This window comes from Homo sapiens, chromosome 12, assembly GCF_000001405.40.
Source record: "Homo sapiens chromosome 12, GRCh38.p14 Primary Assembly".
Classification (NCBI taxonomy): domain Eukaryota; kingdom Metazoa; phylum Chordata; class Mammalia; order Primates; family Hominidae; genus Homo; species Homo sapiens.
Genome location: NC_000012.12, coordinates 122,546,354 through 122,564,717, shown reverse-complemented (window position 1 = coordinate 122,564,717; position 18,364 = coordinate 122,546,354). Strand labels below are relative to the sequence as shown.

At 41.1% G+C, this 18,364-nt stretch overlaps 1 protein-coding gene across 11 annotated transcripts in view; it reads right to left on the bottom strand.

Moving 5' to 3' along the window:
- The window catches only part of KNTC1 (kinetochore associated 1), a 99,148-nt gene that overhangs the window by 61,679 nt on the left and 19,105 nt on the right, over positions 1-18,364 (bottom strand). For all 11 annotated transcript variants that reach the window (NM_014708.6, XM_006719706.3, XM_011539027.4 and 8 more), the window contains 11 exons: positions 18,044-18,096; positions 17,188-17,303; positions 16,749-16,803; positions 14,854-14,952; positions 13,356-13,399; positions 13,195-13,260; positions 13,022-13,097; positions 7,209-7,334; positions 7,029-7,118; positions 2,744-2,797; positions 2,019-2,080 (listed from right to left, as the gene is read on the bottom strand). In NM_014708.6, the coding sequence (NP_055523.1) occupies positions 2,019-2,080; positions 2,744-2,797; positions 7,029-7,118; positions 7,209-7,334; positions 13,022-13,097; positions 13,195-13,260; positions 13,356-13,399; positions 14,854-14,952; positions 16,749-16,803; positions 17,188-17,303; positions 18,044-18,096 (841 nt within the window). The remainder of the gene's footprint in view (positions 1-2,018; positions 2,081-2,743; positions 2,798-7,028; positions 7,119-7,208; positions 7,335-13,021; positions 13,098-13,194; positions 13,261-13,355; positions 13,400-14,853; positions 14,953-16,748; positions 16,804-17,187; positions 17,304-18,043; positions 18,097-18,364) is intronic.

The window sequence follows — 18,364 nt, the reverse complement described above, 5'->3', positions numbered from 1 at the left end:
GGCAGATCGCTTGAGCTCAGGAGTTCAAGACCGGCGTGGACAACACAGAGAGACTGCATTTCTAAAAAAATAATTAAAAAAATTAGCCAGATGTGGTGGTGCACATCTGTAGTCCCAAGCTACTTGGGAGGCTGAGGTAGGAGGATCACCAGGGAGGATACCAGGTATCCTTGGCATCCCAAAGTGTTGGGATTACAGGCGTGAGCCACTGCACCTGGGCCAGACTCAGTTTTATATGTTTTAGGACCCTTTAATTCTAGAATGGAGCGTGGGTTCTCTTTTATTGTGTTTTTAAATGTCATTATTTTTATACGATTCTATAATTATAGCAATGACTAAGAATTAAACAAATCTTCATTACTTAGAATTATATTTTAAATTTATTTTATTGTTGCTATCATCAGAAATGGATTTTCAGATTATTAAAACATTAAACCATAAGGCCAGGTGCAGTAGCTCACACCTGTAATCCCAGCACTTTGGGAAGCCGAGGTGGGTGGATTGCCTGAGGTCAGAGTTCGAGACCAGCCTGGCCAACATGGTGAAACACCGTCTCTACTAAAAATACAAAAATTAGCCAGGCGTGGTGGCGGGTGCCTGTAATCCCAGTTACTTGGGAGGCTGAGGCACAAGAATTGCTTGAAACTGAGAGGCAAAGGTTGCAGTGAGCCAAGATAGCATCGCTGGACTCCAGCCTTGGCAATAGAGCGAGACTCCGTTTCAAAAAATATATAAAAAACATTGAACCATAATGTTTTTCCAAATGATGTATTTTTATCTTTAAATAGAAAAGAAAGAGGTAAGGCCACACTGCCCTTTGCAAATACCAGCTGTTTTTTCTTCCTTTCAAACCCTGTTTATAGAGTGAAGACTGTCTCCTTCTGTTGAAGTCTTTGCCTCCTGCTGAAGCTGAAAAAACTGTGGAAGAGTCATCATATGGGCACGACTGGCGTTACAAGAAGAGCCAGATCATTCTAAAGAGGTGACATTTTCACTAAGTAAAATATAAGTAAATCCAATTTTTATGGCTATTACTCAATAGGATAGAAAAGATGGACTTACACATATGGAGATCTGCCCTTCTCGCTGCTAGGGTGGCGCAGTGAAAAAATTCCTGGGTAAATTTACTACTAGGAAAAAAAAATAATTGTGGCTGCCTTGGAGCGGCTGCTTGAGCCCACAGAGAATGACCTGGGAGCTGTGGGTTAGCGGGTGTCTTGGAGCAGCTGTTGTACATGAAAGGTTTCTATAATGCCTTGCAATATAAACAATGTTTTGTATTATACAGGACATAATTATTACTGTTAAATAGTAATGTCAGCTACAGAACCAATATAAATCTATATAATCTTATAACATTGAAACTTAGAAATGGTTTTAAGAGAGTTTACTTCTTTGCAGATAAGGAACCAAATACTTGATTTATCCAGAATAGTTAGATTTTTACCAAGCCTAAAAAGTTGAGGCTGCAGTGAGCTATGATCGCACCACTGCACTCGAACCTGGGTGACAGAGTGAGACCCTGTCTCAAAAAAGAAGAAATGACAACAAGGATGTTCAGCCCGTTTTTGTTGCTGAAAAACTAGTATTTTCTATCACTCAACACCCCTCATAGAAACACAAATTCAGCAAGAGGACTGCTATACCTGTTATGACATTCCAAATTTCTATGTAACTTATAATCTAAAAAAAAAAATTTTTTTTTTTTTGAGACCGAGTCTTGCTCTGTCGCCCAGGCTGGGGTGCAGTGGCACGATCTCGGCTCACTGCAACCTCTGCCTCCCGGGTTCAAGTGACTCTCCTGTCTCAGCCTCCCTAGTAGCTGAGATTACAGATGCACGCCACCACGCCTGGCTAATTTTTGTATTTTAGTAGAGATGGGGTTTTGCCATGTTGGCCAGGCTGGTCTCGAACTCCTGATCTCGGGTGATCTGCCCACCTCAGCCTCCCAAAGTGCTGGGATTACAGGCGTGAGACACCATGCCTGGCCTAAAAAGTTTTAACAAAAATGTACACACCTGAATTTTTCTGGTCCAAATGCTCCATAAAAAGTAGTCAATTTTGCATGAGCTCTTAGCACCTGAAGAAAAAATAATTTAATAATCTGAATTTATATGCAACAATATTGAAATTAAAACATTAAAAATGAATCATTACATTTCACATGTCTATACACATTCACATTTATCTCACATCACAACTCAATTCCCATAGGACTGCCTTTATTTCACACACATACACACACACACACACACACACACACACACACACACACACAAAACATGGGATAAGAAAAACATTTCCAATTACATCCAATTATAAAGGCACATACACATTAATTGTAGGAACTCTTTAAAATCAGTTTTTTCACTGATTTCTAAATTCTTATGGTAAAATCCAGCTGGATTACAATACTTAATTTGAACTAAGAATTTGAATATTTATATGCTCACATGCACACACACATGTATTTTAGCACCATCATAATCAACATCGCAGTTTATCTTCATTTGAATGTTTAGCAGGTACCAGGTACTATGTACAACAGTTTATATGAATTATTTCCTTTGATCTCAAAATGACCTTATAAAGTAAGTACCTATTAATATTACCATTTTGCAGATAAGAAAAGTAAGGTATTGAAATAACTTGCTCTTGATAAAATACGGGTCTATTTTGAATGGAAAACATATTATAAAGGTATATTCACCCACATATTAACCTAGAAATCTAGTGTAATTACCTCTTTCAAGCCATCAGAATAAATGAGAGCAGTTTTATCTTCTTTCTTCAAAAGCTAAGTAAGAATAATAAGAAATACAGTTAGAAGAATATCTACTGTTTATTTCCTAAATGATGGATTTTCTGTGAAATAACAAAAAATTTTTTTAAATAAATTGCATTTAAGTGTGAAATGAATAGTAAACTATAAAGAACTGACATGTTTTTTAAAATAATGCATTTGCCTGGGGGCAGTGGCTCACGCCTGTAATCCTAGCACTTTGGAAGGCTGAGGCGGGCGGACTGCTTGAGCTCAGGAGTTCAGGATGACCCTGGGCAACATGGTGAAACCCTGTCTCTACTAAAATATAAAAAATTAACCAGGCACTGTTGCGCACACCTGTAGTCCCAGCTACTAAGGAGCCTGAGGCACGAGAATCCCTTGAGCCCGAGAGGCTGAGGTTGCCATGAGCCGAGATCCCACCACTGCACTCCAGCTTGGGGTACAGAATGAGACTCCGTTTCAAAAAAAAAATTACAAATAAATAAATAAATAGCAAAAATACTCATAGGTCATTGCAAAAATGACATTATTTGCAATTGCAAAAATTGCATGCCAAAAAAGGTCTATGACAGAAAAAGAATCCATTTTTTATTTATTATTATTATTATTTTTTTTTTTGAGATAGGGTCTTGCTCTGTCACCCAGGTTGGAGTGCAGTGGCCCAATCTCTGCTCACTGCAACCTCCACCTTCTGGGTTCAAGTAATTCTCCTGCCTCAGCCTTCCAAGTAGCTGGGATTACAAGCATGCGCCACCAGGCCTGGCTAATTATTTTTGTATTTTTAGTAGAGATGGGGTTTCATCTTACTGGCCAGGCTGCTCTTGAACTCCTGACCTCAAGTGCTCTGCTCTCCTGGGCCTCCCAAAGTGCTAGGATTATAGGCATGAGCCACTGCACCCAGCCAAGAATCCATTTTTTAAAAAATTATTTCTTTGGCATAAGACTAATATATACAAACGGTATCAAAACATACCTTCCCACCTTACATACATTAGTGGAGGGATTACAGCCACTGTGCTTGGCCCAATCCCAACACTTTGAGAGTCTGAGGCAGGAGGATTGCTTGAACCCAGGAGTTTGAGGCTGCAATGCATTACAACTGCACTCCAGCCTGGGTGAAAGCAAGACCTTGTCTCAAAAACAAAAAGTGTTAGCAAAGGTGGAGAAATCTGAACACTTATGCACTGTTGCTGGAAATGTGAAATGGCACAGTCACCATGGAAAACATGGTAGTTCCTTAAAAAATTTAAAAGAGAATTAGGGCCCAGTGTGGTGGCTCACGCCTGTAATCCCAGCATTTTGGGAGGCCAAGGCAGGCAGATCACTTGAAGTCAGGGTTCAAGACTAGTCTGGCCAACATGGTGAAACCCCATCTCTACTAAAAATACAAAAATTAGCTGGGCGTGGAGGCACATGTCTGTAATCCCAGCTACTTGGGAGGCTGAGGCGAGAGAATCACTTGAGCCTGGGGGGTGGGCAGAGGTTGCAGTGAGCCAAGATCACGCCATTGCACTCTAGCCTGGGAGACAAAGTGAGACTCTGTCTCAAAAAAACAGAATTAGCATATGACCCAACATTTCCACTTCTGGGTATATGCTCAAAAGAACTGAAAGAGGGACTCAAATAGACATCTGTACACCCATGTTCATAGCAGAATTATTCACAGCAGCAAAAATGTGGAAATAACTAAAGAAGTCAGGGTTAGGGTCAGAGTCAGGGACCATGGATAAACAAAAAAGAAAGAAATTCTGTCATTTGCAACAACATGAATGAACCTGGAGGATATTATGCTAAGTGAAATAAGCCAGTCACAAAAGACAAGTACTGTCTTAAATGATTAAATGATTCCATTTAATATAAGGTACTTAGAGTAGTCAAAATTATATACATAGACAGCATATGGTTTGCCAGGGGCTGGGGAGACGGAGAAATGGGAAGTCTGTGTTTAATGGGCAGAGTTTCAGTTTCACAACGATGAAAAGAGTTGGGGAGATGGACGATGGCCGAATGTGATTATGAATGTATTTAATACCATTAAATTTAAAAATGCTTAAGATAGGCCGGGCGCAGTGGCTCATGCCTATAATTGCGGCACTTTGGGAGGCCAAAACAGGCAGATCATTTGAGGTCAGGAGTTCAAGACCAGCCTGACCAACATGGTGAAACTCCGTCTCTACTAAAATACAAAAATTAGCCAGGTGTGGTGGCAGCGGGAGCCTGTAATCTCAGCTACTTGAGAGGCTGAGGCAGGAGAATCACTTGAACCCAGGAGGTGGAGGTTGCAGTGAGCCGAGATCACACCACTGCACTCCAGCCTGGGTGACAGTGCGAGACTCCCTCTCAAAAATAAAATATTTTTTTTTAAAAAGGTGAAAATGGTAAATTTCATGTTATGTATTTTTTAACAAAATATAAACAAAATTGGGGGAAAAAAGTATAAACAACCCAAATGTCCATCAACTGATAAATGGAGAAACAAAACGTGGTATATCCATAAAATAGAATATTATGTGCCAATAAAAAGAAATACAGCACTGACATGTGCTACAGCATGGATGAACCCTGAAGATTTTTTTTTATTTTTATTTTTTTTGGGACAGAGTCTTGCTCCGTTGCCAGGCTGGAAGCGCGATCTCAGCTCAAAGCAACCTCCACCTCCCAGGTTGAAGCGATTACCTTCCCTCAGCCTCCTGGGACTACAGGTGCGTGCCACCATGCCTGGATAATTTTTTGTATTTTTTGTATTTTAGTAGAGACGGGGTTTCACCATGTTCGTCACAATGGTCTCGATCTCCTGACCTCGTGATCTGCCCACCTCGGCCTCCCAAAGTGCTGGAATTACAGGCGTGAAACAACGTGCCCAGCCCAAACCCTGAAAATATTATGCTAAGTGAAAGAAGCCAGACATGAAGGAGACATATATGATTCCATTTATTTGAACCGTTCAGAATAGGCAAATCTAGAGAGACAGGAGGTAAATTAGTGGTTTCCTGAAGCTGGGGGACTGGGGCAAATGGGGAATGACTATTAATGGCATAGAGGTTTTGTTTTCTTTTGTTTTTTGATAAGAGTCTCACTCTGTTGCCCAGGCTGCTGTGGCGCAGTTTTGGCTCACCCTAACCTCTGCCTACCAGGTTCAAGCAATTCTCATGCCTCAGCCTGCCAAGTAGCTGGAACTACAGGAGTGCACCACCACACCCAGCTCATTTTTATATTTTTAGTAGAGATGGGGTTTCACCATATTGGCCAGGCTGGTGAACTCCTGACCTCAGGTGACCCACTCACCTCTGCCTCCCTAAGTACTGGGACTACAGGCATGAGACACCTCACCCAGCCATTTAAGAGTTTTATCTTTTAATTTAATATTTTTTCTTTTTCTTTTGAGACGGAGTCTTGCTCTGTCGCCAGGCTGAAGTGCAGTGGCGTGATCTCAGCTCACTGCAACCTCCGCCTCCCAGGTTCAAGCAATTCTCCTGCCTCAGCATCCCAAGCAGTTGAGACTACAGGCGCGTGACACCACACCCGGCTAATTTTTGTATTTTTAGTAGAGACAACATGAGGTCTCACCATATTGGCCAGGCTGGTCTTCAACTCCTGACCTCAGGTGATCCACCCACCTTGGCCTCCCAAAGTGCTGGGATTACAGGAGTAAGCCACCGCACATAGCCTTAATTTTATTTTTTGAGACACAGTCTTGCTCTGTCACCCAGGCTGAAGAGCAGTGGAACAATTTTAGCTCACTGCAACCTCTGCCTCCCGGATTCCAGTGATTCTTGTGCCTCAGCCTCCCTAATAGCTGGAACTACAGGCACGTGCCACCACGCCCAACTAATTTTTTTATTTTTAGTAGAGACGGAGTTTCACCATGTTGGCCAGGCTGGTCTCCAGCTCCTGACCTCAGGTGATCCACCCACCTCAGCCTCACAAATTGCTGGGATTAAGGCGTGAGCCACCACGTCCGGTCTGGGATAGAGGTTCTTTTGGGGAGATTTAAAAGTTCTAAAATTGACAATAATGATGCTTGCACAACTCAAGGAATATATTAAAAACCACTGAACTGTATACTTTAAATAGGTGAATTGTATAGGATGTGAATTATCTCCATTAAGCTATTATAAAAACTTTTTTATTAATAATACACATAGCGGATAGGAGGAAAAGATATATTTGAGGCAGGATTATGAGAGATTAAAGCAAATTCTCCCCTGCCCCAAAAAAACAAAATACAAAAAAACGAACCTACCCTGGTTTTGGCATAATTCAGCATCTCTTGAGTGGTTTCATAGGTTATCCACTGAGCTTTCAGGCAGTAATTCACCACAAATTCATCATCCTGTTTCACAAATGCCAGACACAGTAAGGCAACCTAATGTTGATCAACACGTCAATCTAAATACTGTAGTATGTGACAAGAAAAACATACCTGGATCTTATGTAGATTTTCCTTAGCGTCGTCTACAAGTTGTTGCCATTCGGTCTGTTCACTGGCATCCACAGAACTCAATGCCAGTTTCTCCAATATATGATTTGACTTGACCTTGTAAACAAGCTGTAATATAAACACGCCACATCAAGCAATTTGAAGTACAATAATACCTGTGGATGGCTTATTCTCAGAGTAAGCTGAGTGAAACAAACTACTTCAAAAAGGTGAATCCTCATGCGCTCCAGGAATGAGATTTAAAGAAAGTAACATTCAGATATCTGAGAGGTGAACCAGATTATTAGCAGGTATGGGAACCATTTCTGTTGAGTCCTTACTAAACGTGTCAAGCAGTACACTTACTAAGAGCTTTATATGAGCTAAGATATGGAATCTAAATATCCATCAACAGATAAGTGAATAAATAAAATGTGGTATATTTGCACAGTAAAATATTGTTCAGTCTAGAAGCTAGATGTAGTGCCAGCCTGCTCAGGAGGCCGAGGCAGGACAACCATTTGAGCCCAGGAGTTCGAGCCCAGCCTGGGCAACATGGTAAGACCCTATTTAAAAAAAAAAAAAAAAAAAAAAAGAGGGAAAATTTGTCATTTCCAACAACAACACAGATAAACCTGAAGGACATTATGGTAAGTGAGATAAGTCAGACACAATAAAAAAAAAACACTATATGATCTCACTTACATGTGAAATCTTAAAATAGTCAAACTCATAAAAGTAGAGAGTAGAGGTCGGGCACGGTGGCTCACGCCTGTAATCCCAGCACTTTGGGAGGCTGAGGCAGGAGGATTATTTGAGGTCAGGAGTTCGATACCAGCCTGGCCAATATGGTTTCTACTAAAAATACAAAACTTAGCAGTGCATGTTAGTGGGCGCCTGTAATCCCAGCTACCTGGGAGGCTGAGGCAGGAGAATCCTTGAACCCGGGAGGCGGAGCTTGCAGTGAGCAGAGATCGTGCCACTGCACAACAGAGAAAGACTCCATCTCAAAAAAAAAAAAAAAAAAAGTAGAGAGTAGAATGGTGACAACTAGAGCCCAGGGGAAGGGGCGGGAGGATACAGAGGTGTCAGAGATGTTTCAAGGCTGCAAAGCTTCAGTTAGAAGGAGGAATGAGTTTCAGAGGTCTATGATGACTGTAGTTAGTAATAATGTATATTTCAAAATTGCTAAAAGAGCCAGGCGTGGTGGCGCACACCTGTAATCCTTGCATTTTGGGAGGCCGAGGCAGGTGGATTACCTGAGCTCAGAAGTTCAAGACCAGCTTGAGCAACATGGCAAAACCCCGTCTCTACTAAAAATACAAAAAATTAGCCAGGCGTGGTGGTGCGCGTCTGTAATCCTAGCTACTCGAGAGGCTGAGGCATGAGAATCACACGAACCTGGGAGGTAGGTGGAGGTTGTAGTGAGCCAAAATCGCGCCACTGCACCCCAGTTTGGGAGACAAAACAACACTCTATCTCAAAAAAAAAAATTGCTAAAAGAGTAGGTTTTAAATGTTCTCACCACAAAAAAAGATAAGTGAGGTGATAGTTATGTTAATTAGCTTGATTTAATCATTGCACAATGTAAATGTATAAAATCACCACATTGCACATCGAAAGTATATACAATCATTCTTGTTTTTCTTTTTATTTATTTTTATGAGACAGAGTCTCGCTCTGTCGCCCAGGCTGGAGTGCAGTAGCAGGATCTCGGCTCACTGCAACCTCTGCCTCCCGGGTTCAAGCGATTCTCCTGCCTCCACATCCCAAGTAGCTAGGACTACAGGTGCCTGCCACCACACCAGGATAATTTTTTGTATTTTTAGTAGAGACGGAGTTTCATCGTGTTAGCCAGGATGGTCTCGATCTCCTGACCTTGTGATCTGCCCGCCCTGGCCTTCCAAGGTGCTGGGATTACAGGCGTGAGCCACCGCGCCCGGCCCTTCTTTTTTATTTTTGAGACAGAGTCTTGCTCTGTCACCCAGGCTGGAGTGCAGTAAGTGTAACCTCAGCTCACTGCAACCTCCGCCTTCTGATTCAAGCGATTCATCTGCCTCAGCCTCCCGAGTAACTGGGACAACAGGCATCCACTGCCATGCCCAGCTAATATTTGTATTTTTAGTACAGACAGCGTTTTGCTATGTGGGCCAGGCTGGTCTTAAACTCCTGGCCTCAAGTAATCCACCCACCTTGGCCTCCCAAAGTGTGGGATTACAAAGGTGAGCCACTGCACCCGGCCAAGTATATATGATTATTTATCAACCGAAGAAAGATATTTATATGAATTGTCTTTTTAAATTATCATAACCTAAGAAGTAAACTTTTACATGTCATCATGACACTATGGGGTAAGTACTAATATCCCCATTTTACAAACAAGAAAACTGAGACCCAAGAAAGGTTAAGTAACGTGTCTGAAATTATGCAGTCCAAAAGTTACAGAGTCGATTTTGTTTGTCTGTTTAGAGACAAGATCTCGCTCTGTCACTCAGGCTAAAATGCAGCGGTGTAATCATAGCTCACTGCAGCCTGGAACTCCCGGGCTCAAGCAATTCTCTTGCCTCAGCATCTCAAGTAGCTGGGACTACAGGCGCACACCACCACGCCCACCCAGCTCATGAAACAGGTTTTTAAAGACAACCAATTTTCTAAGTCTACTAAAAGTTCTTTAAAGGTTAGAGTTACAAATACTCAAATTTCAGGTTCTGTTTCCTATGGACACAATACCAACTTTGACAGGGACTCTCTGGTTCTGAAAACTATAAATGATAACAAAGAGTAGTTTAATTCATGAATATTCCCCTCATTTCTTTCACAGATTTTCTGTTTTGGTTTGATTTTTTTGCTCCACTGTCTCTTTTTAAACATTACTTCTAAAATCTTTCAGATGTTCAAAAAAGTAATAATGTAAATTATAAATACTATAATAATAATGTACTCATCACCTTTAGCTTTAAAAATAAAGCAGATGTTACCAATAGTTTCAGATCCCACTGTTGTCTTTCCAAATACATCATCCTCTTCCTCCCAACCAGAAGTATACATTATTCTTGTATTTAGTACTAATTCCATTAATTACTTTGTCTCTTAACTTGTATACATTTCTAAACAATACACAGAATTATTCTTGCTGGGTATGGTGGCTCACACCTGTAATCCCATCACTTTGGGAGGCTGAGAAGGGAGGATCACTTGAGGTCAGGAGTTTAAGACCAGCCTGGGCAACATAGCAAGACCCTGTGTTTACAAAATATATATAAAAATAAATATATATTTTTCGGCCAGGCATGGTGGCTCATGCCTGTAATCCCAGCACCTTGGGAGGCTAAGGCAGGTGGATTACTTGCGGTCACGAGTTCGAGACCAGCCTGGCCAACATGGTGAAACCCCGCCTCTACAAAAAATACAAATATATATATATATATATATATATTTTTTTTTTTTTAAGGAAGTATTCTGTATGTTTAAAACCGTTATATTTTTTAAAACAAGCACGAGTAGCAAGCACCCACTTAGTAAATATTAATTCTTTAACCAACTACAGTAAGGCTTTCTCTCTTATTACTTCCCCAAAAACTGACTTTTCAAGGATTATCAATGACCTAATTGCTGTATCCTCCAGATGTCTTTCAGCTTTTATACTTGATCTTCTCTGTAGTAGTTGAAACTGCTGATCACTCCCCAGTACATTTAAAACTTACTGCTTCCTTGGCTTCCATAATCATACATTCTTACAGTTTTTCTCCCTTATTTCTTCCCAAATATGTGTACAGCCCTTCCTCCTCCATCCCTGATATGCTATTGCCCCCACATCACATCCTCAGATGTCTTTTCACTCTCTGCATTTGCTGGAGTCATCTGAGCCATTACACTGGTGTCTCCGACCCTTAGAAGCAGTGTAGGCCACTCCTCAACTTCCCACTAGACATCTCTATTTCACCAGACCCCTCACATCCATTTTTTTTTTAATTTTAATTTAGAGATGAGAGGCTCACTATGATGCCCAGGCTGGGGTGCAGTGGCTATTAACAGGCCAATCTTATTGCAGTATAGCCTCAAACACCTGACCTCAAGGAATCTTCCTCCCTCAGCCTCCCGAGCAGCTAGGACTACCAGCATGCACGACTGTGCTCAGCTCACATCCAATTTTCATAAAGCAGAACTTTTCATCTTTTATCCCTAAACTGCTCTTCCACACATATTCCTCATTTCAGGTCATGCCATCGTCACCCAATGTGTATGCTTAGCCAGAGTAAAGCAAGTCAACCTCAAGTCCCCTGCCCTTCCTTCCATTTGATCACTAAGTCCTGCTGATTCCACCCACTATATTCCTCTTTTTTTTTTTTTTTCCCTGAGACAGAGTCTTGCTGTGTTGCCCAGGATAGAATGCAGTGGTGTGATCTTGGCTCACTGTAACCTCCACCTCCTGGGTTCAAGTGATTCTCCTGCTTCAGCCTCCCGAGTAGGTGGGACTACAGGCATGTGCCACCACACCTGGCTAATTTTTGTATTGTTAGTACAGTATTTTTAGGTTTCACCATATTGCCCAGGCTGGTCTTGAACTCCTGACCTCAGGTTATCTGCCTGTCTCTGTCTCCCAAAGTGCTGGAATTAAAGGAGTGAGCCACCGCACCTGGCCTATATTCCTCTCTTATCAGCCTTCTCTCTCACCTATATCTGTACTTCATTGCCCTGGTTCAGGTCTCCTAGAGAAAAGTACTTAGTTCCAATGTATTTACCCTTCTCCAAATTCTTTGTCTTTCTAAAATGACAACCTAATCAAGATACTCTCCTGCTTAAAACTGTCAGCAGGTTCCTATCACCTGCAAAATCAAATCTCACTCCTGGCCACAAGTGGTGGCTTAGGACTGTAATCTCAAAACTTTGGGAGGCCAAGGTAGACAGATCTCTTAAGCCCAGGAGTTCAAGACCAGCCTGGGTAACATGGAAAACCTTGTCTCTACAAAAAATTTAAAAATTAGTTGGGCATGGTGGTATGCAACTATAGTCCCAGCCACTTGGGAAGCTGAAGCAGGAGGATCACTTGAGCCTGGGAGGTCAAGGCTGCGGTAAGCTGTGATCGCCCCACTGTACTCCAGCCTGGGTGACAGAGGCCCCTACTTCTGCATCATCATCATCTTCTTTTACTCTGCTGCCCATATAACCTACATTCTAGTCCCACCTAATCAGCAGGAGTTCCTGAAGCATCACAAGTCCCCCTCATTCTATCCATGCTGACCTTGTACCCAGAATCCCTTCCCCTCCCTGGTCTGTCAGGAACACCTTCAAGACCTGACCTGAGGCCAGGTGCAGTGGCTCACACCTGTAATCCCAGCACTTTGGGAGAACAAGACAGGCAGATCACGAGGAGGTTAGGAGTTCAAGGCCAGCCTGGCCAAAATGGTGAAACCCCATCTTTACTAAAAATACAAAAATTAACCGGGCATGGTGATGCATGCCTATAATCCCAGCTACTCGGTAGGCTGAGGCAGGAGAATCGCTTGAACCCAGGAGGCGGAGGTTGCAGTGAGCTGAGATTGTACCACTGCACTCTAGCCTGGGCAACAGAGTAAGACTCCATCTCAAGAAAAAAGAAAAAAAAAAGACCTGACCTGAAAACGACCTCCTCAGTAACATCTTTCTGCCCAACTATGGGTCACTCTTTCCTCTGAATCTCTAATCAACTTCAGTCATATCTTAATTACAGCCTTAATCACACTAAATTCCAATTATATATTACATGTCTGTCCTCTCAGCCTCTAGCCCATGACGAAATGCTTGTTTGGTGAACAAATGAATACATGAATGATTACCTCAACATCTAGTCCAAACTGAATGGCAAAACTCTCAGCTTCAGCAAATCTGTGTTTGTGAAGTAACCGACTCAATCTGTTAAGTTGGAAGAGAAATTTTGTTAAATGCTTATTATTCAGGGAATTTAAGTTATTCACTAAAGGATAAAGCTTAAAAAAAAATGAGAAGTTACCTGTTTTCTGGTAAAGCTTCCGTAAGACATCTGAGTACTAACACAGAGACTGAGTCTTCAGACAATCTAGAAAAAATTTTAACTATAAATGCGCTTGTCTTTTAATATTAATACGTAAAATTTAACATAGCTATTACTTAACACGGTAAAACATGACCTACTTTGGATCATTTTTGCAAACTCCTTCTAAAAGGTATATGGTATCCTACAATAACAAAAAAACATGATTAAAATTCCAATATAAGAGCAATGCATTTTATAATTACTAGAGTAACTACTGGTTCAGGCATGAATTATCCATCAATGGACTTTAAAACAACTGGGTATCCCATAAATACCTACTATGTACCCACAAAAATTTAAGGAAAAAAAAAACACTGGGAAAAAATGGCTAGGAAATATAAATCCCATAGACTCAAAATAATATCACATAGGTTACTTTCTATTAAGGGAAAAACACTTTATAAATGGGGAAATCTGACAGAACTGCCTTAACCAAATGATCACATTTAAAATCACCCATAACAGGACAAATGGATACCATGAGCCTCTTAACGTGATGTGGTTAGAAAACAATATTACCTGTGCAGTATTTGTGCCAAAAAAAGCTTAACATGAATCTAATCATGATGAAACAATCAAATCCAAATAGAGAAACAGTCTACAAAACCACAGGGTGGCGACTCTTCAAAACTGTCAATGTCTTAAAAGACAAAAAATGGACCAGATGCAATGGCTCACACATGTAATATTAACAATTTGGGGAGGTGAGCCAGGAAGCTCACTTGAGCTCAGGAGCTTGAGTCTAGCCCAGGAAACATAGTGAGACCACCTCTCTACAAAAAATGTAAAAATTAGCCAGGCCTGGTGGTGCACACCTGTAGTCCCAGCTACTCAGGAGGCTGAAGCAGGAGGACCACTTGAGCCCAGGAGTTGGAGGCTGTAGTGAGCTATGATTGAGCGACGGTACTACAACTTGGGCAACAGAGCAAGACCCTGTCTCGACAACAACAACAACAACAAAAACACAGAGACCTAAATTTGATGAGTGATTCTTGATTAGATCATAAGAAAAAAAAATAGCTTTAAAGTAATTGGCCCAATTGGTAAAATTTAAATCTAGAAGAGTTTATAATAAATAATACTGTATTTGAGTTACATTTTCTGAGTATGATAATTGCATTGTAGAAGAATGCCCTTATTTTTAGGAGATACCTGCTGAAGATTTAGGCGTGACAGCATGATGTCTACAAGTAATTTCCAAAATGTGGAAAACTACAGTGTGTGTGTAAAAAGAAATTAAACAAATGTGGTAAAATATTTTTAAAATATGTAAATTAGTTACATAAATATGTAACAGCAATAGTCTCCATCTCCCATTATCATCTATACTTCCTGTAGAGACACAAGAAAGAAGAATAAGCAGATGACTGATGTTTTGACTTTTTTTTTAATATGATGACTAACCTTAGACTATCAAGTAAGTATATTTGAGGATCTCTATTAATAAATATAGTTATAAACCTGAAATTTATCCAGGTTTCCACTAGGTTCCACTAATGCTTAGCTTAATTATTAAGGCTTTTAATCATCCCTGATTAGATACCAGATAAAGAAAAAAGTAGTTAAAAGAATACTTTAAAATGCAAATAAACTTACTGTGCTAATTCCTGTTTGGACCAGAGAAGAAACACTAGATACTTCCAAAGAATATAGTATTTCCATTGTAGGTAATGAATAAACCATGAGGTTTTTCATCTAAGAAAAATAGCAGAGCAATTAATTTAGCAGATCAATTTAAACATGCAAGTACAAAACAGCACTTCACAATTAAGAGCAGATTAAAACACATGGGAGCGGCTGGGCGTGGTGGCTCATGCCTATAATCCCAGCACTTTGGGAGGCTGAGGCAGGCGGATTGCCTGAGCTCAGGAGTTCCAGACCAGCCTGGGCAACACAGTGAAACCCTGTCTACTAAAATACAAAAAATTAGCCTGGTGTGGCGGTGTGCATCTGTAATCACAGCTACTGGGATAATCACAGCTACTGGGGAGGCTGAGGCAGAAGAATCTCTGGAACCCAGGAGACGGAGGTTGCAGTGAGCCGAGATTGTGCCACTGCACTCCGGCCTGGGCAACAGAGCGACACTGTCTCAAAAAATAAAAATAAATAAAAAACAAAAAACCAAAAACACATGGGAGCACTTTGGGAGGCCGAGGCAGGCGGATCACTTGAGGTCAGGAGTTGGAGACCAGCCTAGCCAACATGGTGAAACCCCGTCTCTACTAAAAATACCAAAATAATTAGCTGGAACATAGTGGTGCACATCTGTAATCCCAGCTACTTGGGAGGCTGAGGCAGAATTGCTTGAACCTGGGAGGAAGAGGTTGCAGTGAGCCGAGATTGCACCACTACACACACTCCTGTCTGGGTGAAAGAGTGAGACTGTCTCTAAATAAATAAATAAATAAAACACACAGTACAAAGCTAAATGCAAAAAATAAGCATTTATAAGTAAGTCTGTTACCGTATGACTTATTTTATTTTACTTTTTTTGAGATGGAGTTTCGCTTTTGTTGCCCAGGTGGAGTACACTGGTGCACTCTCAGCTTACCGCAACCTCTGCCTCCCAGGTTCCAGCTATTCTCCTGTCTCAGCCTCTCGAGTAACTGGGATTACAGGTGCACGCCACCAAGCCCGGCTAATTTTTGTATTTTTAGTAGAGACTGGGTTTCACCATGTTGTCCAGACTGGTCTCAAACTCTTGACCTCAGGTGATCCACCTGCCTTGGCCTCCCAAAGCGCTAGGATTACAGGTGTGAGCCAACGCACCCAGCTTGTTACTATATGATTTAAATGTTACATATGAAATGATGTTCTACCCCATATTCCAACTCTGTTGAATGAAAATCCATACATATACCTGAAGTCCATTCTACAGTTTGTATTTAAGGTGAAATGTAATTCCTCAGTGCCAGAACTACGTAAGAGTCACTCTAATAAACACTTTCCTGGGCCGGGCGCAGTGGCTCACACCTGTAATCCCAGCACTACGGGAGGCCGAGAGGCAGGCAAATCACCAGGTCAGGAGATAGAGACCGGCCTGGCCAAAATGGTGAAACCCCATCTCTACTAAAAGTACAAAAATTAGCTGGGTGTGGCGGCAGGCACCTGTAATCCCAGCTACTTGGGAGGCTGAGGCAGGAGAATCGTTTGAACCCAGGGGGTGGGGGGTTGCAGTGAGCCGAGATTGTGCCATAGCACTACAGCCCAGGGGACAGGGTAAGATCCCATCTCAAAAAAATAATAATAATAAAATAAAATAAACACTTTCCTATGGGCATTTTTGGTTCCTGAAGTGCTCCATTTAAAATATGGAGTCAAGATTTACAGCTTTTTACTTTAAAAAGAGTTCTGCAGGTTTATTTCTGATTGTCAAGTTTCTGTGTGAACTAAGAGCTAATATGCTGTACTATTTAACATCTACTTTTGTATTCACTAATGCTTTTTCTAACACATAATATAGGCAAGCACAAAATAAAATTTTCCAATACCTTCTTATTAGCTGAAGCTGTCAGAGCTATTAATTTGAGATTTGTAATTCCTTGCCTAAAAGAGAAAAGAACCTTTAAATAATTCAAGTAAACTTTTACACAACAAAAACATACAATATTATCTATTGATTAAAAAAGTAGGCTTTGCCAATTACAAGATATAAACTAAAGTAACACTCTTCCATAAAAAATAAAATGTAATAGACACTGTATTCCATTTCTGCACGTTTATGCCCAGACTGACAGTTTCTAACAAAATGACTTGGAAGTTCATATTGCCTAACTGTTCCCAGTGAATTTTGCAAACGGTCTTTACTCTGTCAGACTGTTTCACAGTGTTGTTTAGAATGTAAAACATAATAAATGACCTGAACAAAACCAGACAAGATACCTGGTACTAACAGAAGGGAAATGACTACTAGCCATAGTCATAACATACCACGTGACTGATGAAGGAGAGTCTGCTTCTGTAGTAAGAAGAAACTCTTCTACGTGAAGAGAGGGCCAGTTCCATACAGGAGTTAGAGTGTAAATATCCCATAAACTCAGCACGTTCTGCAATAGAGACATTTCATTTACATGTCCTTTTTTTTTGAGACAGAGTTTTGCTCTTGTCGCCCAGGCTGGAGTGCAATGGTGCGATCTCGGCTCACTGCAACCTCCACCTCCCAGGTTCAAGCGATTCTCCTGCCTCAGATTCCTGAGTAGCTGGGATTACAGGCGCCCACCACCACGCCCAGCTAATTTTTTGTATTTTTGTATTTTTTGTATTTTTAGTAGGCTAGCCACCACGCCTAGCCTACGTGTCTTCTTAATGATTAAAAATTTACATTTCAGACCAGGCGCAGTGGCTCACACCTGTAATCCCAGCACTTTGGGAGGCCAAGGTGGGTGGACCACCTGGGGTCAGGAGTTCGAGACCAGCCTGGCCAACATGGTGAAACCCCGTCTCTACTAAAAATACAAAAAATTAGCCGGGCGTGGTGATGGGCGCCTGTAATCCCAGCTACTCAGGAGGCTGAGGCAGGAGAATCGCTTGAACCCGGGAGGTGGAGGTTGCAGTGAGCCGAGATCGCACCATTGCACTCCAGCCTGGGAAACAAGAGCGAAACTCTATCTCAAAAAAAAAAAAAAAAATTACATTTCAGGATCAACTTTTTGGTACATATACTGAAAAAAAGCACAGTACACAAGATAGTTATCCACCCTAGCTAAAACCCTTGCCTTTGTAAGTCTGACATTTTTGTTGTAAAACATATCAAGTAAAAACATTGAAGGAGAAACAAGAAACATACATCAGTATCAAGAACAAAAAGTAGATTGTCTATCAGCTGGAACTTCTTTGCACCTACAAAAGAGAAAATAAGATGTCTCAGGATTTTATTTCAATATTTCATATATCTAAATAAAAAACTAACATATTCACAGAAAGGCAGAACTACATAATTACTAGGTCCCATTTTCCTTTATTCCTGCCTCTATTTCTGTTAGGTGATTACTAAAATGTAAAACCTCCCAAAATGAAGAGTAACAACTGTAACATGTCAAGAACTGTTCTGTATGTGAACAACCATCAAGCTATTCTGGCTTGTTTCAAAGAGTGGTAGGGTAAAATG